General features: G+C 45.0%; 1 long non-coding RNA gene across 1 annotated transcript, besides 4 other annotated features; it reads right to left on the bottom strand.

Moving 5' to 3' along the window:
• Window positions 1,686–1,855: an enhancer, noted in NCBI's record as "experimental_63191 CRE fragment used in MPRA reporter constructs". NCBI's record gives its function as "activates a minimal promoter by MPRAs in K562 erythroleukemia cells, with activity observed for the non-introgressed 22:27716038 variant allele {active_cell/tissue: K562}" and the evidence as "EXISTENCE:reporter gene assay evidence [ECO:0000049][PMID:34662402]".
• Window positions 2,127–2,296: an enhancer, noted in NCBI's record as "experimental_63195 CRE fragment used in MPRA reporter constructs". NCBI's record gives its function as "activates a minimal promoter by MPRAs in K562 erythroleukemia cells, with activity observed for both the introgressed and non-introgressed 22:27716479 variant alleles {active_cell/tissue: K562}" and the evidence as "EXISTENCE:reporter gene assay evidence [ECO:0000049][PMID:34662402]".
• Window positions 2,634–3,915, bottom strand: LOC105372979 (uncharacterized). Its single transcript, XR_938121.2, has 3 exons — window positions 3,706–3,915; window positions 3,410–3,586; window positions 2,634–2,733 (listed from the first exon to the last, which is right to left on the bottom strand). It is a non-coding gene; the product is annotated as an uncharacterized LOC105372979 (long non-coding RNA).
• Window positions 7,897–8,066: an enhancer, noted in NCBI's record as "experimental_63206 CRE fragment used in MPRA reporter constructs". NCBI's record gives its function as "activates a minimal promoter by MPRAs in K562 erythroleukemia cells, with activity observed for both the introgressed and non-introgressed 22:27722249 variant alleles {active_cell/tissue: K562}" and the evidence as "EXISTENCE:reporter gene assay evidence [ECO:0000049][PMID:34662402]".
• Window positions 11,242–11,536: a silencer, noted in NCBI's record as "tiled region #9271; HepG2 Repressive non-DNase unmatched - State 24:Quies, and K562 Repressive non-DNase unmatched - State 23:Low". NCBI's record gives its function as "represses a minimal TATA promoter and a strong SV40 promoter by Sharpr-MPRA in HepG2 and K562 cells {active_cell/tissue: HepG2 | K562}" and the evidence as "EXISTENCE:reporter gene assay evidence [ECO:0000049][PMID:27701403]".

The raw sequence follows: 12,718 nt of genomic DNA on the forward strand, positions 1-12,718 counted from the left end.
GAGTGCCCCCATAGCTGGGGGAATATTACTCACCAGGTCATGGTCGGCTGCGTAAAATACAACCCTCATATATCATTATAACTGCCAGCCAACGACAGTTATAATTGAGACGGCAATAACTAGGAGAGAGTTCTTTAATTTAACATCCAATTATTACAAGTTATCACTTCTTAATAAATGTAATATAACAGACAATCAATGTTGCATGCAACGGCCCAGACTGCAATGGGATGGGAAATTTATATCCTGGGGAAAAAAATATACTCTGTGTAGTGTGTGTGCGTTTGCATGCATGTGTGTGTGTGCATGTATGTGTGTGTGTGCGTGTGTGTGTGTTTCAGCCTTTCTAAAGTCTGCAGAGGCTGTGATAAGTGTTGCAAGACTCCAGCTATAAATAGCTGAGCTTCTCTCAATAGCTGACATTGCTGCATTTGCATATGTACAATAGCTCCAGGCCAAGGGAGAGGAAAGAGTAAGAAGGGAAAAAAAGATTTCTTCTCCCTGGTGCAGGCTCTGAGAAACAGCAAGAGGAAGGAAGTAAGGCCCCCTGGCCCAGCTGGCACCAAGGCTCAGGGATGCAGCTGGGAATATCACCCCAAACCTAACTTGGCAGGGCAATTTCTTTTTAAGTAAAATTTTTTTTTGATGTAGGATATATATACACAGAAAAGTGAACACATCATGAGTATGCAACTTGATGACTTTCTACTAGGTGTACACACCCAAGGATTCAGCACCCAGATTGATAAATAGAAATTACCAGCACCCCAAAAACAGCTCTCAAGCCCCAGCACCACTAGTTCTTACACCACCAAGATAACTACTCTTTCCTGCTTTCCACCTTCATAGACTGCTTTCTCTTGTTTTTGAACTTTATGTAAATGGACTTACACAGTATGTTTTCTTTTATGTGTGGCTTCTTTGGTTCAGTATTATTTTGTGAAGTTCATCCATGTCGCTGCATGTCATGTGTTGCAGCAGTTTGTTCATTTTTACTTCTAGATAATATTCCACTGTGGGAATATTTCACAGTTTACACATCCATTCTATCACTGGTGGACATTTGGGTAATCATCAGTTTGGGGACTCTTACACATAGTGCTGTGATGAATATTCTTGGGTGTGACTTTGGTGAACATATGTAGATGTTTCCTAGAAGTGGAATCCTTAGGCTATAGGGTAGGTGTATGTTCAGCTTTAGTAGATGCTGAAAAATAGATCTCCAAAGTGGTTGTACCATTTCACATTCTACCAACTATGAGAGTTCCAGTTGCTCCGTATCTTCATCAATGCTTGATATTATGTTTTATTGTGTTAGCCACCCTGATGGGTTCATAGTGGGATCTCAGTGTGTTTTAATTTGCACTTTTCTGGCGACTAATGAATGAGGTTACCCACCTTTTCACGTGTTTGTCCTCTTTTGTAAAGTTCCTGATCAAGTGTTTTTGCCTGTTTTTCTCTTGAGTTGTCTTTTTTTTTTTTACTCTGGGTACGAATCTTTGCCACTTGCATGTATTGCAAATAGTTTTCTCCCACTCTGTGGCTTGCCTTTTTACTCTGTTGCTGTTAATAAAGAGACACTTTTAATTTTTAATATTAATACAATTTTCAAATCTTTAACAGTTCTTATTCTGTGCAATACAGAATTTTGATCATTTTTTAAGGAAATCAGTTCAAAATGAGTTTTAGCTAGACTTCCAGAAGAAGAAATTGGTTGGGTATTTTGTTTTTGTTCTTATTTTTGTTTTTGATCCACCTACTTACCCCTCAGCTCCATGCACATGGATTCAGTGGGTGGAGAGTGGGATATTATTCACTCACTGCTCACCCATCATACATTTATTCGTTTATTGAGACTTACGTACTAGACACTATGCTAAGTACTAGAGTCACAGAGATGAATGTGACAGACGCTGTTCATGGCCTCAAGAAATATAAAACTCCTATGAAAAAATAAGAGAAAATTCTTCATGACCTTGAGTTTGGGAAAGATTTCTTAAGTAAGACACACACAAAAAAACCCAAAAATGCATGAGTTATACAATTTTAAAAATCAATATATTGAACTTGATCAAATTTAAATAATTTTGCTTTATGAAAGACACTGTTAAGAAGGGCTGATTTAAAAAAAATATTGTGATAATAAAGTATAATGATGTCCCTGGAAGTTTAGAGAATGATACCACGATTCCAGCCAATTTTATAGTTATTCCTCCATTTATTCATCCACTCAATTAGTATGTTATTGCTCCATTTATTCACTTATTCAGTAAGTATTTATTGAGCACATACTATATGGCAGAGATTGTGCTAGGCCCTGGAGAATCGCTGTGTCTTCAAGGAGCTCACACTCAGAGGAGAATGGACAAGCAGACATGTTACAGGACATGATGTGTCAAGGGCTGCTGTGGAAATAGATGCAGAGGTTGTAGGAACAATCAGGAGGACACCAGGAGGGCTTCCGTGAGGAGGTGATGTTTGAACTTGGCCTTGAAAGATGAGTAGCAGAGAGTGTAGCCAAAGGTGTGCAGACAGGAAACAGGTAGCCTGACTGTCATTTTAAGATCCAGTAGAGCATCAAATGAAAGGGCAAGATGTGTCTGGAGAATCGGTGGCTACATCCATGTCTGGTGGCATCTGAGTGCCCTGAGGTAGATTTGCATCTCACTATGCAGGTGCTGGGGGATGTCAGGAAGATGACAACATCCTCTTGTCAGGTGAAGAGCTGTCACACTGCAAATAAGAGCAGGTGGTATTCAGAGCAGGAATTTGGAGTCTGGTGGCCAGGTTTGGATTATGACTATATGACCACAGCTACTCTAGACCTTAGTTTCCTCATCTGTAAAATGGAAATGGTAATGATCACGAACACTCACTGATGACCTGCTCTGTAACCAACACTGCTCTAAGAGTCATTACTTATTTAGTCTCCTCAATCTCCCCATAAGGTGGATTTTAAATCACTCTCCCTATTTAACAGATGAGAAAACAGAGGTCACCCAGCTGGTACAGGTCAGAGCCAAGATGCAAGCCCAGGCCATCTTGCTCCAGGGTCTGGCTCTCTAACCATTGCTTGATGCTGTTTGATAGTGGGGCCAGCATCCTAGGGCTGCCATGAGGACTGATGGAGGCAATGCACATAACATCTGACTCAAGCTAAATGCTGGGGTCAGAACTCAGATTCTCTAAGTGCCAGCTGCCATTAATAAGAAGCCCAGACCATCTAGAGGCTGTGAAAGTCTCTTACCAAGGGCATTGGTCTCCAACAGGACATTTTGGTCTCCTCCAACTTACACATCCCTGCCTCCAAATATCTAACTAGAGCCCCATCCCTCAGCTCCCAGGGAGGACATGACGGGAGATTTCAGATGAGGAAGTGGAGGTTTTAAAGCCATGTGCCCACACTCACAGGGGCATCAGAGGTGAGCTGGGGTTTGAAGCCCTGTTCATGTGCATCTCAGTGCTGTGAACTCACTCATGCCCCATGGTCATGGAGCCCCTGCAGGGCCTGGCATCAGAGCAGGGTGGCCCCTCAGGATGTTCATGCTCAAGCCCAGTGTAGATCGATGCAGATAGTAGCAAGAGTCTGCTAAGCAAAGATAACTCATGAAAATCTTTTAAAACAGAGAGTATTAGTCAGCTCCAGCTGCAGTAACAAAATACCACAGACTGGGTGGCTTAAACAACAGAAATTTATATTCTCACACTTCCAGAGGCCAGAAGTCCAAGATACAAGTGCCAGCAAATTCTGTTTCTGGTGAGTGCTCTCTTCTCTGCTTGCAGACAGCCACCTTCTTGCTGGGTCCTCACATGGCGTTTCTTCTCCCTGTGCTCTGAGAGAGATCTCTGATGTCCCTTCTTCTTCTTATAAGAACACCAGTCCTATTGGGTTAGAGCCCTGCCTTTATGACCTCATTTAATCATAATCATCTCCCTAAAGTCCCTATATCCAAACAGTCACATTGCCAATTGGGGCTTCAACATATGAGCCTGGGGAGGCCACAATTCAGTCTATAACATGAGAGAATGAAAGAAAAATGAAAGTAGGGAGGGAGGAAAGAGAGACTAAAATAACAAGCGAAGAAAACAAGAGAGATGAAGAGGAGAGTAGAAAGAGAGGGTGATAAAAGGAAGGTGAGATGGGATTATGACCTGCATAATGCCTTGAACATGCCATCATTTGCTGGGAATGCTTGCAGCCACCAGAAATTGTTCATCTGGGACCTCTGGAACAACTGGGAGTTTTCTGCTGGCAAAAGATGAAGTTTGAAAACAATAAAGTTTATATTTGAGAGTCATAAATAATAACGCTTTGATATAATGAATTTACAAAGAACAAAAATCTGGTTACCATGGTTGGAATGCCATTCAGAAGTCAACTAACCAAATATCTTCGTTTTGCATTCAGGAAAACGGAAGCCCAGAGTGGGGAAGGCACCTGCCCCAGGTTACACAGCTCGTGCAAATCCAAGTCTTTTGACTGCACCTGCGGTGTTTCTTTCAGGAGGTCAGAGGCTGCGGAGAGAGGCAGTTATTGGCTGGGCAACCAGCATCAGAAAACAAAGAAGAATTGAAGTGTGTGAGACAGAACTAGGCGCTAAAACAAGAGCTATCAATAGAGCCGAGGGCTCCCAGGATACAGAATAGGCGGACAGCTGTGCAGGTTGCACACTGACGAAGAACCCCTGATTGAGTAAAAGACCAGTGGCTGAAACCCAGTTCCCATTCTGTAACAGTCATGCACCCTGGCAGAGAGCTGCATTTACCCAGAGGAATAAACAGGCTTCTAATTTTTAGAAAGGCAACACATTGGCCCGCAGAGGTTCTTTGAGAAGATTAAGATTTATGGGGCACCTACTGTGTGCCAGAACTTTGCAGGGATCGTACTCACATTACTTTGTTTAACCCCTCATGACTAACCCTGCAATAGAGATTGGTATTTTCATCATACAGAAGGGGAAACTGAGGTGTAGAGTACTGAAAAGACTTGTCACAAAGGTGTTGGCACATGGCTTGCTACTCAGCAATGGTAATCGTGTTCGTCAGAGCCTCACTGGGGACTGCCTCTCGCCTGAGAGCTCTGCATGCAATATTGCACCTAATATTCATGGTATTATCCCCGTGTTGGAGAAGGGAAACAGATGCTCAGAGGGGAAATAAATTTCTGAGGCCACCTAGATGTGCCCAGTTCTCCCTTTGCCCATGTGATTTCTAGGGGCTGGGACTTTTCTGTGAGGCTGGACCTCAGGCAGGTGTGGGGCTCCCCAGGCTTGGGAAGCAATTACCATCGCATCTCTTCCACCCTCGTTCTCAGTCTCTTCCTGGCGCTCCCCCGCCCCCACCCCAGGCCAACCCACAAGAGGTGGGAGGGACATCCCACTCCTCAGACAGAAGGTTTCACGTGGCTCCCAAACATGGGGTGTCAGTTCCCGCAGCTCAGGCGCAGCAGCCAAACCCACCCTCCTTCTGGGGGAGGCGAGATGTGGAGAGGCTGGGGGCCCGAGCGCTCGGGCTCAGCAGCCGGACGGGCAGACTGAGGGGCTCCTTGCCAAGGGAGGTGTGATCTCCCCCGGCTCAGCGTCCTGGAGTGCGAACTTCAAACGCCCGATTCTCAACATTTGGCCATATTTTTTTTCTTACCCCAAAGCAAATCCGGCTCCAATGTGGGTTCCCAGTGCCTGGCTGGGTTGCAGTTGGCTGCTTTGTTTAGTGAGAGTAGCTGCTCACACAAGGGGGATTTGAAAGGGAAAACCTGGGTGAGGAAGAGGGGAGCAGGAAAGGGCAACTTTCCCTAAGGTTGACCTTGGGGAGGGTCATTGACGTGTGGTGGGTGGGTGGATGAACAGAAAGATGGAGACATGAGCAGACAGGCACTGAGCAGGCAGTCTGGAGAGGATCAGCCCAGGTCCCACACATTACCTCTCTCTCCCCTGGGCCCCTGGGCACCTTGCAGCCTTTATTATCTCACTCACCTCCCTGGACGGTTAAGGGCCGTGTCCCTGTCTGCCTCTCAAGGGTCTGAGACTTGCCAAGCTCTATATGGCTGGAGCTGAATACAGGGTCTCACATGGCCCATGCCAGAGTTGAGGGAGAAAGGAAGGAAGGAAGGAGGTGGGAGAAAAGGAAGGAGGGGAAGGTGAATCAAGGGAAGTTTGATATATATATAAATAACATGACATCCTACACACAGTAAAGCACAATCTACTGCTACATCCATGTGCGAATCTCACAGGCATATGCATAAGCAAAAGAAGCCGGACACAAAAGGAGAGAAACCGGACAATCCCATTTGCATGAGTTTCCAAACAGGTGCAACCAAGCTATGCTAGGGGTCAGAAGAATGGTTATCTCTGAGGAAATATGAATTTGGGGGATAAGAGGTTGTCTTTTGGGATACTGGAAATGTTCTAAATCTTGTTCTGTCTGACAGTTTCATGGGTGTCTATGTATGTGAAGGCCCAACAAGTTGTACAATGAAGATTGGTGTAGCTTGGCCATATACTTTTCTAATATGTAAGTTTTGTAGCTCATTTGTTTAAATAAATACTGCAACACAAAACGGATGGATGATAAATAGGTAGGTTGATGGACGGGTAGGTGGATGGATGGATAGATAGGTGGGTGGATGGATGGATGAATGGACGGATAGGTAGGTGAATTGTTGGATGGATGGATGGATGGATGGATGGATGGATGGATGGATGGATGGAAGGATTGTTGGATGGATGGATGGATGGATGGATGGATGGATGGATGGATGGGGGAGAGATGGTTGGATGGATGGATGGATGGATAGGTGGATGGATGGATGAATTGATGGATGGATTGTTGGATGGATGGATGGATGGATGGATGGATGGATGGATGGATTGTTGGATGGATGGATGGATGGATGGATGGATGGATGGATGGATGGATAGGTGGATGGATGGATGGATGGATGGATGGATGGATGGATGAATGTGTGTGGATGGGTGGATGGATGGGGGATAGATGGTTGGATGGATGGGTAGACAAAAGGCAGACACTCATTCAGTGGATATTTTTGGAGACTTGGTTCATGTTGGGCCCTTTGCTTGTCTTGGGACATGGAGACAAATGATTTCTAGCCTCTGCCTCCAAGGAACTCAGAGTCACTTGGGAGACCGGTGCATGCAGACATTATAACAAAACAGGATGAAAAGAAAGGAGGAGAATGAAAACATTTGCCAAGACCACCAGATAGGTAGAATGGGATAAAAGCAGAGCCCTAGATGGAAGGCAGGTAGTACAAGAGAAAGATTGTGAAAAATAAAGATAGATGAAAGGTGACTGAGTGGATGGATGGATGGAAGATGGGTCAATGAAGAATTTCTTTTACTCCTCAAAGGTAAAAATTGCCTTGCACATTGTAAATGTTTAATTACATGTTGTGATATTATGAAATATATTTGGTTGTCCCTGGCATAAGGCTCCTGTAACCCCTGGAAGCTCTGGAGTTATGAGTGTCTTTTGTATGCTAATGAGATGACTCGTGGCTGGCTACCTCTAAATACCTTCAAGGTGAGGCCAGGAAAGACCTAGACATAATTAGAGGGTTGAGACTTTCAGCCTCACCCCCACCAACCTCCTGGAAGGAAAATGGGGGTGAAGATTGAGTTGGCCACAAATGGCCAATGATTTAATCAATTAAAAACTATGTAATGAAGCCTCCATAAAAATCCCAAAGGACTGGGTTCTGGGAGCTTCCAGATAGCTGAACACATGCAGGGTCCTTGTGGGTGGTACACCCAGGCGAGGGCATGGAAGCTCTGTGCCCCTTTCCACGTGCCTTGCCCTATGCATCACCTCATCAGACTGTTCATCTGTGTCATTTGTAATATGCTTTATAATAAACTGGTAAACATAAATCACATGTTCCCCCCAAGTTTTGTGAGCCTGCTCTAGCAAATTAATTGAACCCGGAAAGGGATTCATGGGAACCCAAGTTTATAGACAGCAGGTCAGAAGCTCCAGAGGCCTGAACCTGTGACTAGCATCTGACGTGGCGAATGGAGCCCTCACCCTCTGGGATCTGACACTATCTCCAGGTAGACAGTGTCAGAATTCGGTTGAATTAGAGGATACCTAGCTGGTGTCCATCAGAGAATGTGCTAGAGAAATAATTGGTTCCAGGAGGGCAGAAATCTCTGAACATTCTGGTGACCAGGGGTGCTGTGCTGTATTAGTGATGAGACAGAATAGGAAAAAAGTGTTAGGTTTTTTTCCTTTCTATCCTTACACATGTTGAATTTAAGATAAAATAAAATAATTCGTATATATTATAAAAGTATGCATACAATATGAACTCACTAATGTTTAAGTACATTAAAAAAAGGAATTAGAAAAACTTGTGTCAAAGCATTCTGGTGGCTTTCCCTAAGTGGCAGGAGATTTTTGTTTTCTACCTTTTTACATATTTCATGTTAACTGACCACTCCACAGTTACAATATAGGACTTTCATGATTAGGCAAAGAAAGGCCATTCCTGCTTTCCCAACTTCAAGAAAAAAAAAGGGGGGGAATTTGCTCTGAAAAATAATGATGATGTCAGTGATGTAACCATGGCAATCAATTCCAAACTGTTTCATCTTGAAGCTGCCCCTTTTTAGTTCTCAGAGACTCCTGGGTACCTCAAAGCAAAGTTGTACTGAGAGTCTCGCATGGGGCAGATCCATTGGTGTTTTTAGACAGTCCCATCATTCCTCCAACAACATGTTTTTTGAGCACCTACTATGACCCAGGTAGGCCAATGGGCTGCAAGCGAAGCCCATTGCTAGGAGTGAGCGTTTTGTTAGACGCCAAGCCTGAGTTAGCTGGAGTGTCACCTCTACCCACTCAAGCAAGGGATGAGAGGAGTGGCTCACATCTATAGAATCCTTACTTCATGCCAAGGACTTGGCATGCATCAAGACTAATCTTGATCCAGCCCTAAGAGATTTGCACATCTATATTTCACAGATGAGGAAACTGAGGCTCAGAGAGGCCAGGTAACTTCCCTAAGGACACACAGCAAGGATGTGCCAGAGATAGAGCCTGTGGTTCCAAGCACAGAGCTATTCTCTCTCTCTGACCTACTTCAACTCAGGAGTCATGACAATTGCAGCCAGTCATTGGGAGAGGAGAAACAAGAAACAATAGACAGATAATATACTGTGAGAGGCAAATCAAGCAAGACAAAAGGCAGGAAGTGACAAATATGTGCCAGTTTTTAGCCAAAAGGAGTTCAGGGACACTCTCCATGAAGTGGGGCATTTAAGCCAAGACCTGAATGAAGGAGCAAACCATGTACAGAACCAAGAAGAGTGTCCCAGGCTGCAGGCGCAGCAGGTGCAAAGGCCCTGAGGCAGGACAGAGGTGCTTGGCACAAACAAGGAATAGCAGGAGGCCAGTGGAGCTGGAGTAGGGTGGGCACGAGGGGAGAGGGAAGGTGCTAGGAGGTGAAGACAATGAGGTCTCCAGAGCACGTAGGGCCCTGGAGGACTGAGAAACGCCTTGGGTGTTCACCATCCAAGGGTTTTGTGCAAGATCCACATTATAACAAGACCCAGCAGGCTGATGAGGGGGAAGCAAACCACAGTCAGGCAAGGACGGAAGTGGCTGCTGCAAGAGTCCAAGCGAGAGATGAGTGTGGCTTAGCAGGAGCGACCCCTCCCCACTAACAAAACAAAACAGTGATTTAACTCAGTGGAACATGTTTATTCTGTGATGAACTCAGACAAACTGGCTTTGGAGGGACCATCTCCCTCATGAAACTCACAGGCCCAGGACAGGTCAGGAGCAGGTTGGCTGACAGGCTGTGGGATCTGGAACACTCCATAGCAGGAGGAGAGCTTTGCAGGGCTGCTCAGCTGGAAGTGAAGACGTGGGGGCTAGCTTCCTTGGTTGCCACCCCACTATGGGCCAGCTCCCTCAGTCAACTGTCAAAAGCTCCCAACAACACCCGCTTACAACAGTCTGTGAGATTTGGTTATACCATGAGCAGAGACTGAATCTCTCTTGACCACCCAGTTACAGATGAGGAAACTGAGGCTCAGAGAGGCCAGATAACCTGCCTAAGGCCTCACGGGAGGTTCTCCTCTATCACATAGCTGGTGAGTGGCAGGGCCTGGGTTTGAATTGTGACAGCCTGCTCCCGGGCTCACATTGCAACCACCATCATATGGCCCTGACATCCCAGTTGATGAACAAGTATTTTATGAAATGACAAGTCTATTAATCACTGTCTTGGGGCTCCATCCTGTGGCCCCCGAGGGCAGAGAGGCACAACATATAGAACATAGAAGGGGCCAGTGTAAGGCATACTTTCCAGGGCCAGAACTCTTCAAAGCTGAAATTGGCTATGGGCATGTGGTAGAGAGCTCCCCATCCCTGGAGGCAAACAAGCAGAAAGTAGTCAATCACTGTATACACATGGGCTTCAAATGTTCGGTAGGGATATACTAGATGATCTGTATTACTTCTCCCAACCTTAACACCCTATACATGGTCAGTCATTCATCTATAGATTTATTCATGCAATTATTGAGCCTTTACTGGGCACCAGGCACCGGGTTAAACACAAAACAAAAAAAATATCAACGTGGTCCCAGTCCTCATGAAGTTTACAGGGAAAGTGACAGCACAAGCATTTTGGTAACATTTGCTCTCATATCAAAAGTGTTGCCTATAGTCCAGAGATAGTTACATCATGTAACCTCATTAAACTTCTCCCTAGTAGAGGTTAGCATGCTCCCTTTTGGAGGAGGAACTGAGGCATGAAGAAGTGCAGGGAGCTGCCCAAATCGTGTGTTAAAGACAGAGACAGGACACAAACCTTGATCTATATAAAAATCTCTGTAAGAACTTTGTCTCCTACCCAAGGAATAGGTCTACAATCCCTATAGAAAATTCAGGGCCCCCTGGAAGACACTAACCACCGCCCCCCGCCCCACCGCCCCCACCACATACACAGAGAAAAAAAACAACCTTCATGCCAATTTCCCTGGCCAAGGATGCTCTAGGAAACCCCCATCTTCCTTCTTAGGCAGCAGAAGAAGACGTTCGGCAAAAGCCAGATCACTTTCCTCTACGCTTAATGTTTTCTCGACTAAATTAAAGTCATACTTCATTTTAAATTAAGGGGATTTTTAAAAAATGAAATATCTACAACATTTAAATATCATTAGTAATTACATTTTATTTTATTTCGAGCTGGTTGGGAACGTTTTATTTCTAATTAGGTACATTTGTTTTTAATATCCAGTTTACGAAACAGAAGGACCTCGCTGAACTGAATGGGGAGTGGGAGGGAACTAGCTAGGTCTAGCACGTGATTGGAGGAAGTGAGCTCTGCAGAGATCAGAAAGATCCCCAGACCACAGGTGCTGCTCCTTCAACACTCACATCTCTGGGACCAGCAGCTCTTCTGCCTTTGTTGTTAGTCATTGCAGAAGCAATGGGGAGCATGCAAAATTGGGCACTGGTGGAAACGTGTAATAATAATTACAGAAAACTTATTTTAACCAGTGTTTACTATATATAAAGCATTTGTACTAAGCATTTTACTACTTGAAGCACCACTGCTAATGATGATAAAAATCAGCTAACATTTATTGAGTAGTTGCCATATGCCCAACACTTCATATACAGGATTACTTTAATCCTCACAAGGAACTTTCTTAGGTAGATCCAATCCGTCATTCTCAATCTATAATCCGTAAAGCTCTGAAAACTTCAAGTATTTTTGGAATGCATTTGGCGGCAAATCCTGACCTCACCTGACAAGAGGCACTCTGAGGTCTTCATGAACCCTTGGACTGGGAGCCAGCACAATCTGTTGCAGAAAGGCTGGCACTGCCCCAGCTGCTGGTGGTGAGACTTCTCTGAAATATGAACAAGGCCTGGCCCTAAAAGATCTGGATGAGGAATGGTAGGCCTGTGTACTATTTTACCAACTTTACAGGTGAGGAAATAGTTGGATATTGAAATAACTTACCTCAGGGTCACACAGCTCTGGAGTGTGGATTTGAACTTATGTCTTCCTGTTACACTGTTCAGAAAACAGAGGATCAGCCCTGGTGGCCCCCACCTGTGCCCATGTCTTCCCCCCTTGGTCCTGGGACAAGGCTTGGTGTCCCAAGTGGGACTAGAACCCAGGACTCTGCCTTGTTGCCCCATCCACCCCAGTTCAGCTGACTGTGCAGAGTATGTGTTGCCTGGCTCTGTGACTGACATGACAACATTCACCCTAAAGAAATGGGCTTGGGGTTGGCTGATTACTGAGCTAGCAGGGACCTCAGATGTTGTGGGAAATCTGCAGTTAATACTTTGGGGGCATTTTCATATAAAATGTAGGTGTCTGAACTTCACACCTACCTATGGAATAAGAATCTTCAAGGGTGTGACCCAGAAACCTGCATTTTCAATATTCTCTCCCCATCATGATCTGATGGTGAGCAGTTCAGAATCATCTCATTCCCCCTCCACCAGCACCTGTTGTATGAATCTTCTCTCCGGCTTCCCTGACAAAAAGATGCTTGATCTGTTTTGTTTGCATACCTCCAGTAATGGGGAGCTCACTCACTTTCATAGCTATTAAGTCCAAACCTTAAGCTTATGAAACATCCCAATGCTGACCCCTGGAGACATGCAGAACAAACAGCTGCTTCTGCACAGGTTACCTTGACTGGGGGCAGATTACACATGGTGTGTGTGTGGA

This window comes from Homo sapiens, chromosome 22, assembly GCF_000001405.40.
Source record: "Homo sapiens chromosome 22, GRCh38.p14 Primary Assembly".
Taxonomy (NCBI): domain Eukaryota; kingdom Metazoa; phylum Chordata; class Mammalia; order Primates; family Hominidae; genus Homo; species Homo sapiens.